Source organism: Homo sapiens, chromosome 3, assembly GCF_000001405.40.
Source record: "Homo sapiens chromosome 3, GRCh38.p14 Primary Assembly".
Classification (NCBI taxonomy): Eukaryota; Metazoa; Chordata; class Mammalia; order Primates; family Hominidae; genus Homo; species Homo sapiens.
In genome coordinates, this window is record NC_000003.12 from 8,635,860 (window position 1) to 8,661,788 (window position 25,929).

General features: G+C 47.5%; 1 protein-coding gene across 33 annotated transcripts in view, besides 3 other annotated features; it reads right to left on the reverse strand.

The window, feature by feature from the left end:
• The window catches only part of SSUH2 (ssu-2 homolog), a 62,542-nt gene that overhangs the window by 16,474 nt on the left and 20,139 nt on the right, over nt 1-25,929 (reverse strand). For 11 of the 33 annotated variants that reach the window (XM_047448236.1, XM_047448234.1, XM_017006515.2 and 8 more), the window contains 4 exons: nt 23,631-23,942; nt 23,066-23,154; nt 4,089-4,210; nt 3,239-3,496 (listed from right to left, as the gene is read on the reverse strand). The exons of 5 other annotated variants lie outside the window; for them this stretch is intronic. In XM_047448236.1, coding sequence (XP_047304192.1) covers nt 3,239-3,367 — 129 coding nt within the window. In that variant the 5' untranslated portion in view covers nt 3,368-3,496; nt 4,089-4,210; nt 23,066-23,154; nt 23,631-23,942. Of the gene's footprint in view, nt 1-3,238; nt 3,497-4,088; nt 4,211-8,871; nt 8,940-16,130; nt 16,226-18,204; nt 18,240-23,065; nt 23,168-23,630; nt 23,943-25,929 lie in introns of those variants that run through there. 17 more of the 33 variants (NR_046358.3, NM_001256748.3, XM_017006519.2 and 14 more) reach the window with 11 other exon arrangements.
• Nucleotides 22,344-22,533: an enhancer, noted in NCBI's record as "active region_19391". NCBI's record gives its function as "activates an Ori minimal core promoter by ATAC-STARR-seq in GM12878 lymphoblastoid cells {active_cell/tissue: GM12878}" and the evidence as "EXISTENCE:reporter gene assay evidence [ECO:0000049][PMID:35858748]".
• Nucleotides 22,684-22,733: an enhancer, noted in NCBI's record as "active region_19392". NCBI's record gives its function as "activates an Ori minimal core promoter by ATAC-STARR-seq in GM12878 lymphoblastoid cells {active_cell/tissue: GM12878}" and the evidence as "EXISTENCE:reporter gene assay evidence [ECO:0000049][PMID:35858748]".
• Nucleotides 22,764-22,813: an enhancer, noted in NCBI's record as "active region_19393". NCBI's record gives its function as "activates an Ori minimal core promoter by ATAC-STARR-seq in GM12878 lymphoblastoid cells {active_cell/tissue: GM12878}" and the evidence as "EXISTENCE:reporter gene assay evidence [ECO:0000049][PMID:35858748]".

Here is a 25,929-nt window from a genome sequence, read left to right on the forward strand (position 1 = left end):
GCAGAAAGACAAGCATTCCTAAGCCTTGGGTAGGGAGGCGAGGGCTGATGAGGGCTTCACAGGAAGTTGAGAAATTAGGGCGGGTGCATTATAAAAAGCCTCACGTTTAAGCCAGCCTCACTCTGGCATCCTTAGGACACAGAATACATCTGCAGGGCAGGTGGTAGTAGCAGCAGTAATAATAGTGATGAGAAACATCAAGAATGCCAGCTCCTATTTGCTGGGTACCTACTCCGTGAATATGCATTATTGCATTCATGAGTCTGTAATTCACTGTGGAATTACAGATGGCCACATATTCTTTGATGCTTTCCTTTCATGGAAACTGGGAAGATATGTGACTGCCTCAACCAAGAGAACACAGTGGAAGCATTAAAAGACTGCAGCTACTTCTGCCTCATGGAGCATTTGTTTTGGAACCCTGAGCTCTAAGTCAGGCTATTATGCTGGAGGGACCATGAGGAGACCCTAAGACTACATGGAAGGAGGTCCAGTTGAGTCCAGCCTTCCAGCTATCCCCGCCAAACCAGCAAAGCCATCCTGGACCCTCCAAGCCATATCAGCCACCTGCTGAATGCCACTGGATGACCCTAATCAACACCACGTGGAGCAGAAGAATCTCCTGCCTGAGCCCTACCCTAATTCCTGACCCATAAAATCATGAGACATAAAAACATTGTTGTTTTAAGGCACCGAGATGTGGGGTCATTTGTTATGCAGCTTCCTCCAGTGGACAATCTTTGCTCTGGGATTCCCAGCAGACCTGACCAAGACTTTCTTGGAGCCACATGGAGTCTGAGACTCCTCCTACTTAATCTCCTTCCTTCCCTCTCTCCCTTCACAAACGTCAGACCTGCATTGCAGTCTGAAGACATTCCCTCCTCTTTTCTCTTCACAGGTATCTTCAAGAAACCCCTTGCACATCTAATGCCATCTTGGTGTCTGCTTCATGGGTGACCCAAACTGGTACACTAACGCCTTCCCTCATTCCACCAATGAGGAAACTGAGGCTCAGAAAGGTTGTGACTTGCCCAAGATCATACAACCAGCAAGTGGTGGGTGGGGCTGGATTCAAACCTAGACTCGTCTGACTCCAAAGTTCGTGTTCTTTCCAAGTACAGACAGTCCCCAACTTAGGATGTTTGGACTTATTGATTTTTCTACTTTATGATGGTACAAAAGCCATATGCATTCATTATAAACCAAACATCAAATTTTGAATATGGGTCTTTTCCTAGGCTAGCAATAGAAAATATGACACACTCTCGTGACGCCAGGCAGCGGCAGTGAACCACAGCTCCCACTCCACCACTGCCTGGTGTATTAAACGCCTTCTTGACTTCTGATATTTTCAACTTATGATGGGTGTATTGGGACATAACCCCACTGTAGGTGGAGTAGTATCTGTACTTTTCATGAGGCAAAACTATGAAAAAATCATTCACTACGTATCTGTTTTCAAAACCTCATCCTAGCCTGTCGGGTGTGACATAGATACAGGTGGCCCTGAGATGCCAAGGAGGAAAGCATAATATAAGAACTGGCCCCTGAAGCACTGGAAGGTTCATGAAACACCTTCCCACACATGTTGCCTCATCCCACACTCCCACCTGGGGGTGTGGAAGGCAGCACTTCTGACCCCACTTGACATGAGGCACATGAGGCTCAGAGAGATTACTCCAGTAATCCTAGGTCACACAGCTGTGGAGTTAGAGCAGGACAGAGGTCCCAGAGGCCTCTGAAACAAGAGGTCTAGTTCCAGCCCACTGGGCCGCCCCTTTAAAACTGTTCCTACAACCCCTCACACTGGGAGACAAGAATCCCTTGGTTCTGTTTGTCTAGTGGCCAAGTCAGTCACAGGAGTTGACTTCAAATAGTGCCTGTGAAATGGTCATGGAAGGGGACACCGTCTGTCTCAGTCACTGAAGCAAACTCAGAGCAGACTTCCAGCTGAACTGCCCCATCTCCTAGAGCTTGTTTGTTTGTTTGTTTGTTTGTTTGTTTGTTTGGTGGGAGGAACCTATTTAAAGCCCGTAGTAGCTCTCTCCCTTCACAAAAGTAAAAATAATATACCCTGTCCCTTCAAGTTTAATAAAAACAAAAACCAGACAATAGAAGCTTCGTTCCAAGAAAACTTCATTTGTGAAAATAGGTGGTGGGTCCGATTTGGCCCTCGGAGTCACGTTTGGCCCATCCCTGACTTAGACACTCACCTGTGTGTCTACTTAGACATTCTCCTGGGAATGGGCTTGAGGGGATCAGAAAGGTAGAGGCTGAAACCTGAGCCTTTCTGGGGCGAAGGCCCATGCATGTCCACTGTAGTTTCTGTCAGCTCCATTATCAGAATTAAAGATCAAGGTCAGGGCTGGACTGTAGCCCTGAAATACATGGCCCAAGCAGTGGAGGAAGGAGGGGATGCCTTTAAGACGAATGAACACCCCCTCTCTACCACCTCCCAAACTGGGAATGTCCTTGTCCTCTGACAATAAGAAATACTATCTGCCTCTCTAAGGTCTTTTCCTCCTGGCAGAAAACCTACAAGGAAGGTAAATAGAAAAAAGTTTCATAGACGTAGAGTGCCTTTGTAAGCAAGAAAACACATCTTTGTGAGCCAATGGTCCTGCCACATTTTGACCGGAGTCAGAAACCCAAAGGCAGCATGGTTAGAAACATGGGTTCTGACATGTCACCTTGGGCCCAGGCTCTCTGCATGATGTGACACCATGTAAGCCACACATCCCTGTAGAACTCAACTCCCTCCTATGCAAAACAGAGCAGTTGATATTAATACCCAAGCAATGAGACAATGTGTGCATAGTCCTTAGTCCTGTGCCTGGCCTTTAACAAAACCCAGTCACTGCCTCCAACCTAAGAAGGGTGGGTCTTCCCCTTTCTTTGTGCTCATTTAAGCCAGAAGACAACAGTGAAAATATCAAGCATAGAAAGACTGTCACAGCCCTGTCCCCTGGGATGGCCCCCCACCCACCCACAAGTCTTGGGTCTGCTGGGGCATCAATACTCCTCTTGACGAGAAGACAGGGAAATACCATTCGGCTGCAATGTCCTGCTGGAAACCAAACAAAAGGGGCAGGAAGTGGGGAAGAATGAGAGGTGGGAAACTCAGACTCCATTCCTCAACCAGGAGCCACCCTGACCTCTCAGAGCAGCTACAGTTCATCAGAGCTAAATTAATCTCGCCATTCTGTTATGTACAAAAATAAAGGACTCCAGACTCAACTAAGGAGGAGGTGTCGTTTCCTGTACAGATCTTGACGGGCTCAGCAGGGAATGTGGACGTCACGGGGCATTGTGTGACACCCAGCACGGGGCACTCGGAAGGGGCCACCAGCCACATTGCTGTTCCCATGGTGTTGCAGCTGTTTCAGGCAGTCGTCCAGCTGGACCACCCCGCCCTAACACACACATTGTGTCCCGTGGCTCCCAAAGGGACATTGTAGGCATGATCTCCTTTGTGCTTCACGATAACCAGTTTTCCCTATTTCAGAGAAGAATGAAATGAGACTCAAAGATGTGGTTTGGGGCAACTTTGCTCACACACGCATGGCAGAGATAGAAATAGCACTTAGAGCTCAGATCCTGTCTCCAAGCCCAGTGACCTTTCTACTTAGCTGAACACCCTATGGCTCCATGCAAAGAGCATCAGGTGAATGTTGAGAAGACTTTGCAAAGAGAGTCGCCAAGGTAGTGTTTCAGCTCACCACCCACAAGATATTTTTCTTTTGTATAGAAAGGAATTTTCCTTGTGGAGAAAGGCATTATTAATGGGTAACCCCTTTAACGTTCTCTTTTTAAAATGTCATTCCCTTGACTACAGATGAGAAAGGAAATCAATGTCCTTTGTCCCTAATTCCACATTAATCATCTTAAAAGCACTGAAGCGTGCTCAAAGGGCTTCCCATCACCATCTTACTTGAGTTTGTTTCATACATTGTCTCCTTTGACAGGTGTGAGGGCCCCTTTTGGACAGGGGCCCCTGTCTCGTATAAGAAAGGAATGGCATTCAACACTTAAACAAAGAGTGGGAATCCAACAGGCACACGTAAGTGTTAGGGGAACAGCAAACCTACCACGATGGGTGTATTGTCGATATGCACAAATGCCTCGTGATTTGAATTATACTTGAGATGGTGCCAAAAAGATTCAGGTGGTCAAACTCACACACACAAAGTAGAGTGATGGTTGACAGGGGCTGTGGGGAGAAGGGAATAAGGAATTATTTAATAGAGACAGAATTTCAGATTTACAAGGTGAAAGGGGTTCCAGAGAAGGATGGTCATGGCTGCACAACAACGTGAATGAACAATACTACTGAACTGGGCACTTACAAATGGCTAAGATGGCAAATTTTATGTCAGGTATATTTTATCACAAATAAAAACAACTTGAGAATGACAGGTGATCCTAAGAGAAAGAAAAGAAAGAAGTTCTGTTTTTGCCACAAAGAACAAACAAATAATTGGTCACAGTAGTTCAAGTACTTCCTAGCAAGACCAGAAAACCTGATCATATCACCCCCTCACCTAACCCCTGCAGTGACTCACTATTACCCACAGCTAAATCCAAGCTCCTGAATTTGGCAGGTAAGGTCCCTACATTAGATGCCCTTACCCACAAGAGAGGAAGAAAGGATTCTCATCTGCCCACATGCCAAGGAAAAGCCTCCTACATGTGCAGACCAGGGTGAGAGAAGGTAAGGCAGCTAACTGTGGAAGACGGCAACAGTAGGGAAAAAGAACACAGAGAAAAAAGGAAGGAAAGAGACAAGGAGAACAGAAAGAAAGAAGGAAGGAGAAAGGCAAGCCTGCTGGAGAGAGAAGCATGAATAGTTGGTTTGGGAGCCATTGAAAAAATATTTGGGGAAGCAAATGTTCACCATGCCGTGAGACCAACATCAAGAGAAATGGGTGAAGGGTTGGGAGAAGATTTGCTTTAAGTTATGTAGGCCACCCTGGGTTGCCAAGCAAGAATGCAGCAAATATTGCAATTTTTGTTTTCAATTATTTGAGATTGTTATTTGTCAATATTTTTCAATTATTTGAAATATGAAATTAATGCTTCTTAGAAAGTGCTGTCATGCCAAGACAGGGCCACACAGGGACTGGGCTTCCCAGAGGTGCCCTGTGGCTTCATGATACAGACATTTGTACTCACCCTCACACACCCTGTGCCATTTCCCCAGCCCTGGCTGGGGCTGGTTCTGCCAGCGGCACCACTGGGCACCCCCTCCAGACTTAGCTTAGACCTCCCCGTCTCCAAAGCCTGCCTGAGTGCGGCTCCCTGTCCTGTGCCCCTTGGCACTCCACTCCACTTCTCCACTGTTGTTTTGCCAAACGGCTTCTTAAGAATCCTTTGTAAAAGGTCCATGTGGGGTCTGTGTCCCCCACCAGACTTGGAGTACCCCAAAGGTAGATCAATGTTTTATTCATCCTCATTTTCCCAGCAATGACCACAGCACAAAATACCTAACCTGCTACGCAGTCTTTGGGGAGAAAAAATCACTCAATTTTTTAGGGCCTTGATTTCCTTTCCCTAAAAGCAGGGCTCAGGGAGTAGGGTCACTGAGAGGAGCAAATGAGACAATGGATGAGAGGGGACTCTGGAAACTGATTCAGGAGAGCCTGGGGATCCTGTCTAAGCTGTAACAATTTCACTGAAGCTTTTTATTTCTTACTCACTCCCCAAAGTAGATGCTGTATCTTCCTATTAGGGGCTACCGGAACCACTATCCCCCTCCCGAAGTGTGCAGCCTGTGGGAAAGACCAGATGGGCCCCTAGAGGCCAGGGCTAACCTAGCTGGGAAAGCTGCATTCCGGTGGCTGTGCCTCCATCCACGGGATGTGTGAAAAACACTGAGATCCCCCGTCAGTCACCACAGCTAACGGCAGCTTGGCCCTTGCCAAGAAGTCCAGCACCCTTTCTCACCAAGATACACTGAGAGCCTGAAAGCTAGTATCAATTTTCCATCCCTAGTCGTGGAGGGCAGGGGCATTCTATGAACAAGACTTCTGGGAGCAGAGCTGGCCTGGGTACCAAGGGAGAGTCCCAGCTGCTCAGCACTGGGTCAGGGGTGGTGATGGCGATGTGGCCCCAGACCAGGGCTCTCACTCGTGATCTCAATCCTGCCCCTGTGGACGGGGGTCCACAGGAACTCATGCCCAGGAGTAAAAAGGTACAACCCATGTCTTATAGTCCTAGACCAGAAAAGCTGCCTCCTAAAATTACCAGAGACTGTATTTATAGCCCATCTTACTTGAAGAGGCTTTTGCTCACCATTTCTGGAAAAGGTTTCAGTCTGCAATCAAAGAAGTAAGTTCTATCACAAAAGATATGGTATATAGAATAAGGGAGGGGATTTTTTTCTCTTCCGCTCTGTGCTAGGACACTGCACTTTAAGAAAAGAGTGATTACCTCTAGGATTGTTGAAGAAACAGGATCTGGTTAGGCTAGAAAAGAAAAGACTTACAGGGCTCTTATCTTAAACAGGGAACAGACATTCTGAGTAGACTTGCAGCCTGGAATCAAGACCAAAGAGTAGAAGCTCCAGGGAGAGAGATAGCGATTCAATGTAAGAAAGAATTTTGGACAGTCTCGACTATAGAAATAGAACCAGACCATCACTGGAAGTGGTCCAGCCAAAGTAGGAGATGCTGCCCTGGTCAGGGATGCTGTAGACAGCCAGCACCTGAAGGTGATGGTCAAAGGCCTCCTTGAGGAGATTTGCACATGGGTGCCACATCCCAGAACGTTCCTATCCATGCACTTTTGTCCCAAAACGTATCACTGGAGAAAGGTTTTCTCCCCCTGAAGTCACTCATATTATAGACCTGAAAAGTGATGGGACAACACTATAGTGCCTGGAACATTAACTCGATTGGATAAAATGGGCAATCACCTCTCCCCTAAACAGGCACATTTAAATTATGTAAGGCCTGTAGCAGGCTCCCTTTCTGACACTTGGGGAAAAAAAAATCTACCTGGTTTCTGATTTCATTAACTTTTTCTAAAAGTTTCCCTGGGTGCCTCTATACCTTGCAGTGAACCCCAAGTGCTCACCTGAGTTCCATCACATCTGAGACCAGCACTCAGGACAACCCTATGAAAGACTCAGGGTTCCTAGACTTGTAATGGGCCCAAAGACTTCACTTTTCTCTCACCTTGCTCACCAAAAGGCATGAGGTCAAAACAGGAACTTCACAGAAGATAATATTTCCCATTAATAGCAGTTTACTTTTAAAGTTCTGGGGACCTGATCATTTCGTAGAGTCAATATTGACTCCATGTCTACTCTGGGCTGGTGATGTATTAGGCACTTTGTAGCCAACGAATCTTTGATCAATCCTGCAAGATGACACCATCCCTTTAAAAAAAATTATGGGAAATGAAATTCAGAGAGGTTAAGTGACTTGAGCAAAGTCACCCAGAAACTAGGAGGCAGAGCATAGGTTTGAGTCCAGATCTGACCTAGTCCATTGCTACTATGAGAAACTCTAATCATAAATGGAAAGACTGCTAATAAACAGTGTTTTGAAGAAAAAAGATTGCATTAGAATGTTATTTGAAGCTTATTAGAACAAGAGTATGGATATACAATTTCCAATATATTAGAGGTCAGATTAAGCCCTCCTCCAATACATGCTAAAATATCTCCAGGCAGTCTTTCACTTCAATATGAAAAAAGATTCCAACAAAATTTAAATTGAGCTCTCTAAGTTTAGTATAGGTTAATTTCATATTCTGCTTCAGGTCTAAAACTTAAAGCTTTAAGATATCAACATTAAAGACAAGAAAGAGTGTTATGCCTGCAAAGAAGCTCCAGTGTCATCAAGTCTGGTGACTATGAAGTTGTGTTAGTGTCATGGATCTCTCTGGATTCAAATGAAAGCTATAGACCTCTCTCTACATCTCCCAAAAAGCATGCTCAAAAAGCATTTTGCCCACACCCTCATGGTCCTCAGATTGAGACCTAAACCAATCTCGTTTTATAGATGAGAATATTGCAGCTCAGAGAGGTTAAGTGATTTGCCCAAGATCACACAGCCAATTCAGAGCAGAGCCAGGACTTGAACCCTGGCCTCCCACTTCTCAGTCTCATGCTCTTCCCCTCCCCACTCCCCGCCACCGGCAACCACCACCCCTCTGCACTGCCTGTTTCAAATTCGGATTCAAAAATTTCCCTTTTTAAAACATAGCACATTTCTTCCTGAAATACCATTTCCTTCATGTTTTTAAATAGCTCTGAGAATCCATTGTATTTCTGTCCCGGTAGTGACAGGATGGGGTCACCTGGGCTATGTTTCATAAGCGATAATGAACGAACTGGCCGTTTGCTAGAGAAAGATCACGAGTGAAGCCTTTTCCCGACCTTTCTGTAGAGTTAACATCATCTAAGAACTGAATCCAATTGTGATTGAAATAAGAATCCTGAAAATCTCACTTAGATTTGGCTGGGAGCAGGAGACACTGTCAACTAGAGAAAAGAAGAAAAAGGGAAAAGAATATAAGGTTTGCATGGTGTCACTGTGATAGAGAGAAAAGTTCTCAATTTCATCTTTCACCTTCCTTCTCCATTGTCCAAAGGCTCATAACGGAAGAAGAGATCGCAAGCTACAGGTAGGCTTTACACACGAGAGGAAGGAAGGAAGGAAGGGGTGCTCTCGGCAATCCAGATGCAGACCCAGGACTGCATTTAGGGCAGATGGAAGAGTTCACACAGTGCTAGCTACAGAGCTTATTAGAAAAGACTATGGATACATAACTTCCAACATATTAGAGGTCAGATTAGGTCCTCTTCAAATGCAGGCTAAAATATCTCCACACAGTCTTCCGTGCCATCTTTGAGGCTCTACTTACTGTCATCTTCATTCAGATCCCTGTCCATGTTCCAGACGTCCTGCCAAAGAGATGTCTGCCCTTCGAGTGTGCTTGGACCGATGTGCTCTGATGGACCACCCTCAGGCCCCTCCCAGAACAGCAGGCCCATTGTTACCCAGTTGGAATACAACAAAGGGAAACATCTATATCGTTCATCATAGCAGCTGCTCTGCACCCAATCCACCGGGTTCTGGGAGCTCCTCTTCCACAAGAGCCTTCTACTGACCAAGCTCTTATGGATGCTTCTAGTTACTCATGTCCTCACTGCACCCCTTTGAGAGGGGCACTGGTATCATGCCCATTTTTCTGAGCAGGATGATAGATTCAAACCCTCATCAGTCTGACTCTCTAGTCAGAGTGCCTGACAACTGAGCTACATCGCCCAGCTGTAGGAGGCAGACTCCTAAGTATTGTAGGGCGCATGCAGAAAAAGGTCATAACCACAAGAAGGTTACCTCCCCAAGGGGGATATTATATACAGATACTCAGCCTGGGCAGGGCCTCTGAGATCTTGAGCATCACCAGCCTCATCTCCCTGGGGAAGAAACAAAGCTGGGATTGTGAGGCCACACTGCAAAGCCACACGGCACCTCATGGGCAGAGCTGGCTCCCAACCCAGCCATGTGGGCCACTACTGTCGCCACACCAGCCTCGCCCACTGTGAAACATCTTTGGATTTGTAAAAGGTCTTTTCCTAAACCTTTTCCATTGGAGTTTGACACCCCTTCAACCTCAGCCCTTGGAAGATCATCCTCCTCTGCATGAGTCTAAACACAGAACTTGTGAGCTGGTCCCCGAGGCTCTATGGGTCCCACCCCCTCCACTGCATCCTTGGCAATCACTCCTCTGCAGCTGAACCTGGGGTTCTCTGGCCAGGGTGATGAAACTGCCCTACGCCTTGACTTCCCCATCCCAGCAATGCACGTGGGATGTGCCATGATATTCCTCAATGACAACCTGGGATTGCCTTCACCAGGGGAAGCATCAGGACTATTTTGTCAGTGTCCTAAATGTCGGCCTGTCTGGGATGGCCACACTGCACAGAGATGGCTCCCAGCTGCTCCATAAAGAGCGTGTCTTTATTCTCTCTACTGCCTTCACCCTCGTCACTGACTGCCCATCGCCGACAGCATGCAAGTGCAACCTTCAGCAGTATTCACAATTTCACAAATGCTTCTTAGGTGACTCAGTCCTCACAAATCGATTTTTATGGCTGGTAGGAGCACTGGATTTCTGATACTTGAGAGTCATATAAGTTTCATTACTGTGTATACACAAGGAAGACCATGATCCTGAGGAACAAATGTGGTCTTTTGATGCCTTTATACATGAAGCAATGATTTTAAGCCCTTATAGAATTGTCCCCATGGTAAATGGGGTTATCATGAATTTGTATGCCTTTCTCTGCGTGTATATTTTACCCTAAACATCTGTGTGAGCATCCATTGCTGTATCTGTTTAGGTGTGTGTTTGCATGTGTGTATATATTTGAGCCAAAACATGATAAATGATAGATTAATGACAAAATGCTTGCAACTTAACTAAAACAATATACCACTATTACATCTTGAGTACTTTTTAAGCGCAATATATGCTTACCTAAAACCCTCCTCAGCATTTAAAAGGAACAACCACAGAAAATTCTTTAAATGTCAAATTGAACAAAATGTTGAAGAGAATTAAGCATTACAAGGACCCGAAATCTTGAGGCCGCAAAAATGCAGACAACGCTGAGCTGTATTTTCGTAACCAGGAAGTGCTGATCAGCAGAAATGACAGTCCTTTTCTGCACGCTACTTAGATCACATAATAGTAAGTTAATAAAAAGCTCTTAAAACGCATGGAAGATAAACAAACCAACAGCTAGACCTTTCTGATCTTGCTTCGGCATCCGTACAGAAGTGCTGTCTGCAACAGTGTGCTTGAGTGACTCGGGGCAAGTAATGTACCCATCAACACCTAACATCCGTGGTAGCAGCAGGAACAAGCAGCATTAGCTCTGGGACCCACGACAGTGTGAGGCTAGTACTGGTCCCTGCCTCTTACTATCAAAGGAGGTTGGGATCAGGGAAGAGAGGCGCCCACTATGTGCCTGACATCTGACAGTCATTCTTCCTCCCTGCTGTTGATGGAAATGAGTGGGCTCTGAGAGCTCCTCCTGAACTGGCCCTCGTGTCCTGCATGTGCTAAGTGCTCAAGAAACATTTGTGGAATTAGCACAGCTGTCCAGGAGCTGACTCTATCAATTGATTGCTGTCTAAGAACCTTGTTTTTTCCTGGAAATAAAATCTATGTAATCTCACAGGTGGGTGTCTGTCTTGGGATATGTCATGGCTGCAGCAAGAATTAGGGTAGGGCAGAGCTTTAGAAGGGAATCAAGGAACCACGTGGTCAGACTGCAATTGAACATGATAGTGAGGAAAAACCTAGAAGCAAGGTTCAATAACTGTCTTCAAGTGTTTAAAGGGGCATGTGGGAAGGCAGCAGCAGAACAGAATCTCAGGACACCTGTCCTATCCATGCGCAGGCATGCGGAGAGCTGGTCCGGAATGGAGGTCATTTTCGGCTGAACAAAGAAACTTTCTAGTGAGAAGAGTTTCTTGCCTTTGGACTGAGCTCTTTGGAAGAATATTAACGCAGAAGCTTGGTGATTAAACAAAGTGGGGTGTGAGCAATAGTAGAACATCACAGTCTGTGGCTTCAGAGTCAGGGTAGACTGAGTTCAAAGTCCTAAAGTGGACATGGCAGCACTGCAGCCCCTTTCCAGAACATCCCTGAAGGACCGTGGTGAGGAGAAGTACTCCCAGGGGGCAGAACCTTGAACAGTGCCTGGTCTGGTTATTTCTTTTTGTCTCAGAGAAGCCGGCTATTGCTCAGCTCCTGCTGGACGAAGGTCTCACCCCACCATCTACAGAGCCCTCACTCTCATTCATCCAGTGAATGCTCCCTGCACATCCACCAGGAACCAGGCCCTGCCTCGGGCCCTCACAACCCAACCGAACCCAGAGCCACCCAGAACCCCCACAGGAGCCAAGACTGCCAACAAAGGAGTTCTGCCCCAAAGGGCCTGGCAGCCACAGATAACATTGTTGTTGGCTTATCTGCAGGCTGGGTGGATGGAGACCAGTGGTGCCCATGGCAGGAATCAAGTATGGAGTGGAGGAGAATGGGCTTGACACAAATAAGAAACTTGTCCAAGTAGGAGGTTCTCGAAACACCATGCCCAAGCACCCTCCTCTCTCTGGGAGCCAGGGAAACTGGCATATCCCTCCAGGCCCAAGTCGTGGACCTCTAACTGCACAGACAGAAAACAGGGACTGAGATCTTCTTGATGCCCCCCAAATACCACATAGGAAGGGAGATGCGTTCACAGATGCTTTCTCAGTTAAACCTTCACAACAACTCCGTAAGATAGATATTGTTCTCCTTATAGACGAGACAACAAGGGCTTAGAGAGGTTGAGTGACTTACCCAAGGTCACACAGCTCTGGTGCGGCAGAACAGGAATGAGAGCAAGTTGGCACCAAGGCCCTGATGTAGATGACAAACAATTCTGTGTGTTGTTATGTGTCGTTGTAAGAAGCTAGGGGAAGGAGCGTGGCATGGTTTTCACTGACCTGGCTACTTAGTGGCTTGGCCCGTGTAAGTCTGGCTACCCAATCAGCTGAACAGAAAGCAATGGAGGAAAGCTGAGAAACTACGATGCCCGCAGGCCAGAGGCCTTCAGGAAGGTCACCTTCCACCTTTCCTTTTCCTAGCCAATCCTGAACCTTTGTCTCCTCAGCGACAGCAAAGCCACACTTTAGCTGGTGCCCCCCCATCCTGAAGTCTTTCTAGAAGCTTCCAATGAGTGCTCACCAAAGCACTACTCCCTTCTGTGACTCTGGTCTGCTGCTGCCCTGGGCTTCCCTCTATCACCTCCTCCAGGCCACAGTGCCCCTTCCCTCATTCCCTTGATGTAGCTGAGGCCCCTCTTGGAAGGCTCCCAAAACACAGGTGGGGAAATGATTAAACACAACACAAAACTTAACCTTGACCCTGGATACATCGCAGCTCCAGGACTCTACCAATCCTGATGCTCCAGGAACCCAACTCATCAACTTTCTTAAGAGACTCTGGCCTGCCCCCACCGTCTAATGGTGGCCTGGTCACCTTCCCCTGGGTGCTTTAGTGAGTGCTGGGCTGCCCTCCCAGGTCCCCTCAGGATGAGAACCTCATCTCCAGCACCTGGCCAAGCCCTTCCCTGACTCACCCTGGGCCTTCATTCAGGGCAGCTCTGAAGGGCTGCCCTACTTCTGAGCCCCTACCCTCCAACAATGGGCAAGACCTTTGCCCTGACTGCAGCGCAACTCAACTCCTCCCTCTGTGAAATCCTGCTGCCTTTGCTTCCTCACAGGACTTGATCCCAAGAGCACCCCCAGCTAACTTCCCACACACAAAGGTCCTCCTCCTCAAAGTCTTCTTCCCAAGAACGCTGCCTGCAACAGGAACTTTCGCCACATCTTACCACATCTCCTGGCTCCTGCAGTTCATGAAGAGGGCAGGAATTGCATTTCTCCTCATTCCCAGAGCAGGTCCCAGGAGCGGGCAAGGTGGGATGGTGGCTCCTCTCCCCTGATCTCTAAATATCAGGGTGTCTGGACCCATTGTGTGCCCGTCCATCCGTGCTCACTCCCTTGGTGACCTCCTTCAGTGTTATGGTCGTCCACGCACTCATGATTCCCAATTTCTGCCTCTGCTTTGACCTCTCCTCTGAACTCCTGACTCCTCTATCTGGCTGGGACATCTCCCCTCAGTTGTCTAACAGACACCTCGAGCTCTCTCTGTGTGTTCAGCACTGAACTTCTGGTCTCCACCTGCTTTCACTCCCCCTTTTCCTCATACCCGCATTCAATGTCAGCAAGTCATATCTGCCTGGGTCCTCTCCCAGTCTGCTTCCTTGCTCCCACTCGTGCCTGAGCCCCCTGCCCCCCTCACCTGGATTGCTGCAGTCACTTCCTCATGGGCCTCCTATCTGTTGCCCTCGCCCTGACAAAGCCCATGCTCAATTCAGAACTCAGACTGATCCCTCTACACCTGTAAGTCAGGAGACAGCCCCTCCTCTGCTCAACACCCTTCCTGGCTGCAAAATCACTTGGACTAAAAGCCCAGTCCTTGCCGTGCTCTGCGAGCGACCCCCTGCACCCTCCCTACCAATATGGCCTCTGCCTGCTTCCCTTCAACCCTTTCCTCCAGCCCCACCAGCCTCCTCATCGTTCCTGGGTCACACCAAGCACATTCCCACCTCAGGGCCTTTGCACTTGCTGTACTGGAGACCTGGAATTCCCCTACAGATCTCTACACAAACTGTTCCCTCACCACCTTCAGGCCTTTGCTCAAATGTCACTCTCCCAGGGAGGCTGTCCCTGGCCCCTATTTAAAATTGAACACCCTGCCGCCACCACCAAATCTCCAGTCTCAGACCCTCTTTCCTGCTTTTGTTTTTCTTCATGGCACTTACTTCTATCCAACACATTAACTAACTTACTATGTGTTTTGTTCAACACCTGTCATAATCTGGATGTAGGCTACCAAGATAAAAATCCCAAAAAGCATATTTGTGTCTGTTTAGTTCCCTGCTGTATACTTAGCACTGTGAACAGAGCCTGGAAAATAATAGATGCTCTATAGACATGTGATGAATGAATGAATAAATAAATATATTCTTATGCAGGGACTTTATCTTCCCATTGTCCTGGACTTCTAAACAGTTTTCTCCAAAGATAAGCTTTGTTCCAACTGTGGGGAAACTGATAGAAGAAAAAAGAAGGCCACTAGTAATTTTTAAATACCAGTTTGTCCCTGTTTCTAGACATTTACTTCTTCAAAAACAGGGATCCAGTCTGAGTGCCACATTATAGGAACAGCAGGAAGGAGTTCAGTTTGACCCTGTGGCTCAAGCCTTAATGAAGGATGCTTCCCTGGAAGCTGGGACTACAGGACGCTCCATCCCCGTGGTTGGAAAACTGACCAGTGACAGCTCCTGCTCCATCCGTGGCCTTGACTCTGGAAGACATTTCCCAGGGAGCTCTTTTGTGGGTCAGTGCAGATGCCCAGCCTGGGGGCTTCAGATTAAACCAACTAAAACCAGTTTCTGTGGTTCCGGCTGCTGTCCTCACTGGGCTAGAAAATGGAAGAGGTTTTAAATCGTGGCTCCTGGCAGGCAAGGAGAACAGAGTGGCTCATTTCCAGCAAAAGGCAGAGATGCTAATCTCATAAGGCAGAAGGCTGCCTGCCAGCAATTGCACGCATTTTGCACGGTCCCTCCGTTTCTCCCTTCCTTCCTACTAATCTGATCCATTTATCTACAAAGCCAATTTGGAATTTTAAAAGGCCAGTCTGTTTGGTCACTGAAATTTTCAAACACAAATTCAATTTGCTTTGCAAGGCACCACCAGCCTTCCCAGGCCACAGGACAACACTAACTTCCCGTCCTTGTGTTTGCAGAGGGGTTTCTGTCATAAATGCTTCGGGATCCAGCCCATTGCATCTCTCGGCTATCTCAGCAAGCGGGGAGGCAAGTGAGGGAAGCCATCATTGCTGACGGTGAGCACTTGTTGGGACCTCAGAATTCTTTTTGTTCTACTTCTTCACTGTGCACATGGGGAAACTGAGGCCAAGAGAAAGGAAAGGACTCGTTCAGGCTCACATGGCAGTGAGTAGCAGACCATGGCCCAGGGCTTCCTCCATGACAAATACACTTTGAATGTTGCCCTGAGGTCCCCAGAGGTGAAGTGACTCCTGGGGCCACACAAAAATGGGGAGCAGGAGCAGAATGAGGAATCGTGTATTTTTTTCACATGTTATTAAAGAGCTTTGATTCCTTGCAGAGACCTTGATGGGTACCAGAGCGATAAGTAACATCAGACATAGCCCCACTGCAGAGTCTCCCATGAAGCCAAAAGTGGCAGAAATCATTTTTTCCTCCATCCCCTGATGTTAGGCCTCCCATCTAATGTCAACTGGAGAGACAGCCCTCAGCAAGGATGGATGTGTTCCCATGGCTCCACCCTAATTCTCTTTCTCCCCATGCCAGCTCCTCCCCTCCTCTGCCTCTTCACCATCATGCCCAGCCACACATACAGGAAACCCCTAATTATCCTCAACTTCTGTCTCTTCTCTTCCCACTACACACACCTCCTGCCAATCTCTCCTCCCTCCATCTCCGTGGCGACTGCCTCAGGCAGGCTTTCACTCACCCCTCCATCCGGGGGTCTCTGACTCCCCTCCGCACCTGCTTAGCAGTGCCAGCCAGTGTGAGCTGTTCTACAGCGTGTCCCGCATGCACAGTGATGACCAGGAAACGGTGGAGGTCAACCATCCATCCCCAGAAGGAAAATCAAACAATCACATGATCAGGATGACACACAGTGTCCAAAGTGCGACAGAACTCTCCCACCTTCCCTGTTGAGTCCTTGATCCAAGCACACAGAGCCCTCCTCGGGATCTCTCTGATCTTCCTCCCTCTGCACCTGTACCACAATCTCCCCCAGTCCCAGGGTCTCAGGTGCTCTGTGATCAGGAGTAGCCTTATAGACCAGTAACAGAAATGGCTTTACCATCTCCAGATTTTTCCCAATCAGACATCCACAAGTCAAGCAAACCTTTGTGTCACTAATAGCAGCTGCCTTCCATGGCATAACCTCAATGCTTATCATGTCTACCCAGACTGTCTTCTATTCCTGCTGCTCAGAGTCCCCCTCCCAAGAAGGGAGGATAAGAGAGAGGAAAGAAAGGGGAAGGGTGGAAAGCTTTTCCTGCCTACTTAGATCTGATTAAGTGTCTTGCTTCAAATCTTTTATGGCTCCTTATTACCCTAGGATAAAGTCCAAATCTTCAGCCAGCCTCCAAACAGCCTTTCCAGCCTTAGCCCTCACATGTTTTCCCCTGATATACCTATATCGAGTTTTATGTATACAGTTTCCCCCATTTGAAACATTCTCCTTCTACCATTTTCTCCCTGGCAAACTTCTACTCATGCTCCAAGGACCATCTCAGATGCCCCCTCCTCTAGGAAGCCTTTCATGATTTCCCTGACCAGAAACAACTGTTCTCTCCTCTGTGTCTTCAGGCCACTCTCCACAGGTCTATTATTTTGGAATATAAGCATGTGACTGACTCCCCCTTTCCCTCAGGCCATCTCCCTGGGAGTGGGGAGGAGACTGGGCTCCTCTTTGTCCTGGGGATCGGCTACCTAAATGCCCTGAAGCTCTGCCATTGTACCTGGCTTCCAGAGCCAGCTCCACATCCACTTGGAGAAAGAGAATCCACAACCAAAAACCGAAATGATAGCCACAAGAATGGACACCTTTTTGGATCTAAATTGAGAATCACATGGAGATGTATGTCATCCAACTCAAACCTGGTCATCCATCTGGCTGGACATGAAGAAGGTCAATGTTAATCACAGACCTCAGAGCAAGAGGCAGGAGCCGCAGATGTCATCTGCTCCAAACTCACTTTCATTGTCCTCTTTTATTTACCTTCACCATTACTTTTTATATTTATAAAAGAAATATCCTAATCCTTAAAAAATCAAAGATTCAAAAGATTAAAAACTAAAAACTAATGGTCACCCCACCTCCAATGTCCACATGTCAATTTACATGTAAATTTGCTTATAAGTGTGCATACACTTAGAATTTTTAAAAAGCGTAAATGAAATCATGCTGTAAATATTGCTCATCCTTTTTGTTAAGAAGAAACAAAAAATACAATATGGATATCTTTCTGTGTCAACAGCATACACAGTTTTACCTTGTTCATTTTATTGTTGTTGCTGTAGCAGATTTTACATTTAGCACACAATCCGGTTTAAATTCAGGCACTGGGCTGAATACGAATAACATAGAAATAACTAAAATATTGTTCACAAGACTTTTGTTTTTACTGATAATTTTTGAATGAGATTATTTTTCTTTGTATACATTTTACTGAATTATAACACAAATCCTTTAAAAAGCACAAATCTTAAAAACACAACTGGATGCATTTTGACAAAGTAAATGTACCCGTGTGACCAAAACTCAGATCGGGAACAGAACATGACCAGATTCTGAAGCCACTTTAGGCCACTTTCCGGTACTCACTCTCTACCTCCCGACCCTTCCACCCCACCCAGTGGGAACCGTTCCCCTGCCTGTAACAGCATGGCTCAGTTTTGCCTGTTGAACTTGATACATTTGGACTCAAACAGCAGGCACTTGTATTAGTCAGCTCAGGCTGCCATGACAACAGACTGGTGGCTTAAATGACAGAAATGTATTTTCTCACCATTTGGATGGCTGGAATTCCAAGATCAGGGTGCCAGCATGGTTGGGTTCTGGTGAGGGCTCTCATCCTAGCTTGTAGATGGCTGCCTTCTTGCTATGCCCTCATGTGGAGAGGAGAAAGAGAGAGAGCAAGCTTTCTTCTGTCTCTTAGAAAGGCACTAATTCCATCCTGGGGACCCCACCCTCACGACCTCATCTAAACCTAATTACGTCCTAAAGACTCCATCTCCAAATACTATCACATTAGGGGGTAGGGCTTCAACAGATGAATTTTCAACAAAAGAATCTGGCTTCTTTCACTCAACATCATGTTTGTAGAATCACCCACGTCATCTCAGTTTCCTTTATTTCTAACACTTCGTAGTTTCCCATTGTAGGAATGTATCATGATGTATTTAACCATTCTCCTCTCAATAGACACCCAAATTGTCTCCTACTTCCCTGCAGTTACACTGCTGTGGTTTAAAGATAGCCTTGTACTTATGTCTACACATGTGTGTGTGTTTCCATAGGGTAAATTAGTAGGAATAGAACCGTAGCACCTCACTTTACAGACAGATGCCGGAGCTCCAGGGAAAATATAAATATCTCAATGTCTCAGTGGGTGTCCTCCCCAAGGTCTCAGTGTGCGGCCACTCCAAGATCACAGTGTGTGGCCTTCTCCCCAAGGTCTCAGTGTGTGGCCTACCCAAAATCAAAGTATGTGGTCTTCTCCCGGAGATCTCAGTGTGTGGCTTCCCCAGGATCACAGTAGGTGGCCTCTTCCCCCAAATCTCAGTGTGTGGCCTCCCCCAGATCTCAGTGTGTGGCCTCTCCAAGATCACAGTGGGTGGCCTCTTCCCCCGGGTCTCAGTGTGTGGCCTCCCCAAGATCACAGTGGGTGGCCTCATCCCCCAGTCTCAGTGTGTGGCCTCCCCAAGATCACAGTGGGTGGCCTCATCCCCCAGTCTCAGTGTGTGGCCTCCCCAAGATCACAGTGGGTGGCCTCATCCCCCAGTCTCAGTGTGTGGCCTCCCCAAGATCACAGTGGGTGGCCTCATCCCCCAGTCTCAGTGTGTGGCCTCCCCAAGATCACAGTGGGTGGCCTCTTCCCCCGGGTCTCAGTGTGTGGCCTCCCCAAGATCACAGTGGGTGGCCTCATCCCCCAGTCTCAGTGTGTGGCCTCCCCAAGATCACAGTGGGTGGCCTCATCCCCCAGTCTCAGTGTGTGGCCTCCCCAAGATCACAGTGGGTGGCCTCATCCCCCAGTCTCAGTGTGTGGCCTCCCCAAGATCACAGTGGGTGGCCTCATCCCCCAGTCTCAGTGTGTGGCCTCCCCAAGATCACAGTGGGTGGCCTCATCCCCCGGGTCTCAGTGTGTGGCCTCCTCAAGATCACAGTGGGTGGCCTCTTCCCCCGGGTCTCAGTGTGTGACCTCCTCAAGATCACAGTGGGTGGCCTCTTCCCCCGGGTCTCAGTGTGTGGCCTCCCCGAGATCACAGTGGGTGGCTTCCCAAGGTCTCAGTGGGTCATTCTTGCCCCCATTAGTCCCCACAACCTCTATCTATTTCATCCCTCTGAAAATATTGACTTGGAACTCGTTATGCACACAAACTAGTCGGAATCCCAAACATGCCTCGAATCCATTTTCTGATTGACATCAATGAGCTGACAGCGTGGAGAGAAAGCACCATTCCTTTGTTCAGAGCCAATCAGAAAACTGATAACACAGCCCCTCGCTCTTCTGTTTTTGTCAGAAGAATGATTGAAGGTAGAGCAGAAGACTCGGGAGGCAAACACACAGGCCAGGATTTCAAAACCCGCTCTGTTCTATCCTAAGTTCAGAATGCTGGGGAATGTTTCAGATATCTCCACTTTTTTTTTCTTCTCCTCCTACCACTGTGGAATAAGGGAAATTGAATTTCAAAAGAATATTATTCTAACTAAATATAAGCCTGTGCTGCTATGAAAACAAAGTTTCTAGTTGTTGGGTGGTTTGTTCTGTTTTTTAATAATTTGTGTCCCACTTCAACAATAACCAAGGAAATTAAGATTTTAAGAAAGAGAGAGAGACAAAAAGAGAAAGAGAGAGACCAGGTTTGTGCAAATCTCAAACAGAACACACAACTGAAAAGCCTTCATGTTTAGGTTTGAAATTGAGAAACTTAAACCTCTGGCAATATATACTCTCCCTCTTTTCCATGTTCTGCTAAAAGCAGCTAATTTTCCCATAAGCAAGTCTGGCAAGAAAAGGAACAAAGGTTTGGTCCAGGACACATTTTACTATTTATTCTTCTAACATACAGGAAATGAGGCCTCCTGGAACCTCGCTGCTGCCCGCCTCCTGGCCACCTCTGCCCTGTTTTGTGTTCCCAACCTGGCACAAAACCTGCTTATGGATTGAGCGTTCCAATTCTTGGACTCTCAGCCCCTCTTGACAGCACCAGGCAGTCACTGACTGTGACCCAGGGACGGAGCAACAGCCATTCCACAAACAGTCCTCATGCCCCACCATGTGCCCTAGGCTGGGGACACGACGGGGAGCGAGGAAGACACAACCCCTGCCCATGTGGAGCCAACATGATGGAAAGGACGAAAAGGCCACATCATCTCATTCGGTCCTCACTACAACCCTGTGAGTTGAGAATTGTTATTAGCCTCAGTTTATAAATGAGAAAACTGAGGCACAGGGAGGAAGTGACTTGACCAAGCTCCTACAGGTGGGAAGTGGTGGAGCCGGGATTTGAATGTGGGTTTTTCTGGCTCCCACGATGAGTCTGCCTCCTCTTCCATGGGATTTACCACTCTGCTTCATTTTTTGGTTTGTTTGTTTGTTTGTTTGTTTGTTTGTTTGAGACAGAGTCTCACTTACTCTGTCACCCAGGCTGGAGTGCAGTAGCACAGTCTCAGCTCACTTCAACCTCCACCTCCCAGGTTCAAGTGATTCTCTTGCCTCAGCCTCCTGAGTAGCTGGGACTACAGGCATGCACCATCACACCCGGCCAATTTTTGTATTTTTAGTAGAGAGAGGGTTTTGCCATGTTGGCCAAGCTGGTCTGGAACTCTTGACCTCAAGTCATCCTACTGCCTTGGCCTCCCAAAGTGCTGGGATTACAGGCCTGGACCACTGTGCCTGGCCCACCACCCTGTTTTATAATTACCTCCTTTCTTAGCTCTCTTTCCTGATTGACTCTAGACTTCAGGATAGCATCTCAGGCATCTTCACATAACTGACACTGCACTTGATGAGTATTTGTTGAATAGGTGAGTGGATGAATAATCAATCCAAAGGGTGGTACAAGTCATGGAAGGTTAGGAGGCAGAGGAGTAATACAAAGTGGCATGAAGAAGCCCAAGACTCAGCCCCTACCCTCAAGCAGCTTTCAACCCAGGTGGGACGGCATGACATGGACACGTGGAAGTTCTCTAGCACTGACAGGCCACCCTCCATGAGGTGTTCCATGCTCATAGACAGTGGGTACGACAGGAGGTCAGATGAGCCCACTCTTTTCTGGGAAGGGGGAGATCAGGAAAGGCTGCCTGGAGGAGGCGAGGCTGACACTGGGCACTGAAGGATGAAAAGAGTCAAGTACATGGAGAAGAGGAGGGAACAAAGGCTGACTACCGAAATTATGCTCTTTCTACCACATCCTACCAAGAGGTGAGTATAGAAGGAAGGGAAGGAGGGAGGGAGAAAGGAAGAAAAGCCTTCACTATGGTAACACATGGAGGATTCAGTTCTGTAGACTCCGACACCCTGGCCTCCCTCTTGCTCAGCAGAGAACCAGGCATGGCGCCACCCTCGCTCTCCAGTATGTGTGCATATCTGCTGGTATCAGCAGGCAGTGGGGCTGTCCCAGTCTCTTCCCAGCCTCCACGCCTGCATAGCCCTGCATGGGCAGGACCGTAGGCACCCTTCTCCCCACGACAACTCCAAGGCTGGCCCTCCCTGTTCTTCCCATGTGTGGGGAGACAGTGAGGGAGGTGAGAAGAGCATCCACTCTGCAGTGAATGGGCCTGGGGTCAAACTGCATCCTAGCTGGGTAACCCTGGGCAGGTCACTTAACCTCTCTGACCCTCAGCTTCTACATCAGAAAACTGGGGATGACCCTCATGGAGATATTTATTACAGGCTAAGAGATGACGACATGTGTAAGCAGTTAGCGGAGTGCCTGTGGCTAGCAGAATCTCAGTAAGTGGAAGGCATTGCTATGAGTAGAATTGCTGTTATTCATATCGAATTAGGTGGTAAAATTAAACCTTTATTGCTCCTTGCGTGACCACTTCAGAAACTCTCTCAGAGTTTCTGGCTAGAGGAGAAAGAGGGGGTACTCTGGGCCTTTCTGGAACACCTGGTATCCTTGCCAGGGCAGCTGGTCCCCAAGGGGCAGGACTGTTTGCTTTCCACTTGCTTGCCGCAGACCAGCCTCCATTGGCGACTGGCTTGGGCCGCCAGGCTGGGTGGGGCAGGTGCGTAAACTCTGTGATGCATTCTTGGGCTCCCCAAGGTAAAAATAGTTTTGCTTTGTTCGGCCGGGTGGTTTACACACTCGTTGGCCTGGCAACCTGCCCACTGGAAAGGCAAAGGCCAGACTATTTCTGGCTGCAAAAACAAGCCCCCGCCAGGCCCCAGCGTCAAGCCTCCAGATAGCAGTATTAATATTCTGCTATCTCATTCTTTCAGGCCACAAAAAAACAGAGAAGAAAAAAAGCCTTGTGCCTGCATGACTTCTCCTTCTATTACCCACAATCACAGCTGCCACAGCTACTGCAGACAATGCCCAGGACTCTCAAATGTCACATTCCCCCAAACAAAACAAAACAAAACATAATAAAGGCTATAGTAGTCATATTATTAACAATAACATCAACAAAGTACTTACCATACACAAAGCACTATGATAGGCATGTTGCTTCCATGTTATCCTTCCTTCACAGCAGCCCTAAGAGGTACTATTACAAGGCCCATTTTCTAGAAAAGGAAACTATGGTTCAGAGAGGTAAAGTCACCTGCCCAGAGTCACACAGTGAAAAATCAGCAAGGGTGAAATTCTAGCCCAGGTCTGCCTGACTCCGAAATCCATGCTGTTTCTTGGCGCCACTTCTCCTTACACCTTACTAAAGAAAACATGGATGTTTCATTGTCTTTCTTTGTGGTTGCTTTTTTTTTAAAAGTAACAAACCCCACTGGGGCATTTTCAGTGGTTTTCTGGTGTCATTTCTCCCACCTTAATTGCCTCCTCTCTTCTTTTCTCGACAAAATCTCCAAGCTTTACTTGTCTCCTGTCTTCCCTTTGGCCCATCAGATTCCCAGGCCTTTGTTCCCTCCGCCTCTCCATCCACATAACTTTTCCCATCCTTCAATGCCCCACTCCAGCCTCACCTCCTCCAGGCAGCCTTCCCTGATCTCCCCCTGCCCAGAGCAGAGTGAGCTCCCTTCTTTCTGACCTCTGGTCATGCACACTGTCTGTGAACATGGGACACCTCAGCAGAGGGGGCCTTTCAGAGTTAGAGAATTCCCAAGTCCATATCATGTCTTTCCAGCTGGGTTGGAAGAATCTGCTGGAGGCCGGGGGCTGCCCGTGCTTCTGTGTGTCTGCTCACATCAGTCCCCTGACCCAAACCCTCAATGGGCATGGGATCCAGTATTCATCCATCTACCATGCATCATCCGTCTGTCCATCCATCCATATATGTATTCATTCATTCAATGGGTATTTATTGTGTGCAGTGTAAGAGATATGGAGATTCATCAGATACCTGCAGTCAGAAGAGAGAGAGATAGAGAAGGAGGCAATTAGAACACAGTCAATAAATGCTATGGAAAGTGGCATGGGTTCATGGGAATCTTTCCAGGGAAGCAGACATCTGAGTTGGATCTTAAAGGGAGAATGGAGTTCATTAGGTGAAACTAGGAAACCATTCTTCAGACAGGCTCCTAACACATGTCCTCTAGGGTTTGACCTAACGTTCTTCCCATCTCATCCCCATCAGCCACTGTACCACTCGGGTCCCAACAGGGAAGCTAGTCTGCTCCAGTCAGATCCCAGGAGGCGTGTTAGTTTCCACAGGGACTACACAATTCCTAACAGGCAGGGTTGGGGACCACACAGGAGAGTGTGGTTACCTGGCTAGTTGTAATGCAGCCATTACCACTTGAAAAGGTGAGAGGAAGGAATTTATAGAAATCCATAAAGAGAGCGCTGGTTAGAGACCCCCTTGAGGGCACAGTGACTTTCCATCAAAGGAAAAGAGCAGCCCAAGGCAACCTTGCAGGCCAGGAGCCAAGATCAACACCCTGACCTCACTCGCCTCTCATCCACTTGAGGCAGAAACTTAAAATAAATATGCATTCATTCACTCCAAGAAAAGTAACAGGCAAGTCAAGGGTTAAGAAGAAAAGAACAAGTTTTCCTCTGTCTAGCAATCTCACTTCAAGAACAGTTATAAGATAACACTGTTTGAGAAGCCAAGGCCAAAAGAATGGGCTCCAGACAACCCCCTGCCAGAGCAAGATTGAAGGGAAAAAAAGAGAGAAAGACAAATTCCTTTATTGTTACTGCTCCTTTCCCTGGCTTCTTAAGTACAGCTGTGTTTTACAAATGTCTATATTTAGCCTGTTCTTGTTTTTCTTTCACAAGGCCAACAGCTATGCAGGGCCACAAGTTACGTTATGCTATAGATTATATGACCTATCATATGATTAGCTGCTTTTGTTTTGCTTCTGTAGTCAACTTATAAAAACTGTGCTCAGTCTTTGTTCAATGCTCAGCTTTTTGGATATGAATCCACTGAGCCGGTGAGTACCTAAAATAAACAATCCTCCTGTTCTCCGTATCAGTCTCTCCTGTCCTCAGTTTCCTGCAACACACTCATCTCTCACTGGCACCTCCCATTGGCCAACCCAGACAGAGCAAGGGGACAAGGCCAGGCTGCCAGGACAGTGAGCAGGATGTGAAGGGTAAAGGGTGACTCTGGAAGAATGGATGAAGCTGTCCAGCCCAGCTGGCCATGCATTTCTGGCTCTCATGCTCTTGGACTTACTGTCTGACGCCGAAGTCCATGCTGTTTCTTCTAGCCACTGCTCCTTACACCTTACTAAAGAAATATTTTACAATTGTAAGTAACCAGGCACTGTCCCCTGAATCCACTCTTGGCCTTCACATGCACCTCTGTGCTTTCACTCACTCTGTTCCCTCTGCCTAGAACTCCGTTGCCCAGCTTCCTAATCCACCAAAATCTCATTCATCTTTCAAGCCATGCCCAACAACTGTCTTTTCCTTAACTGCTCTGAAAGTATTCACTGTTTAACTTGTATGTCATTCTCTCACGTATCCTTTTCCCTCTACACCCATTAGTCTATGAGCAATTTAAGAGTGGATGCTATGGCTGATTCATCATTAAAATCCTAAACTTCTGCCTCCTCTAAGTCATGAACCTGGAAGCTGTCAGGAACTGTGAAGGCAATGAGATTTTACCCTACCTGCAAGCCAACAAGTCAGCCTGCCTGTTTCATGGATGCTGACAGGAGGCGTGAGAGACTCCCGAATCCGAGACAAAGGACTTTATTATCACAGCAACAGCAATAGCCAGACAATCAAGGTTTTTGCACCAGTGCCCTCAGCCTCAGTTTCCACAGGACCACATGAAGAGGGCCAGGTAATACTGTATATGCAGTGGGTTGCATTACAGAACAGCAATGCTTAGCTTGGGGAACCTGTTGTAAGTAAGCATACCGATATGGTTT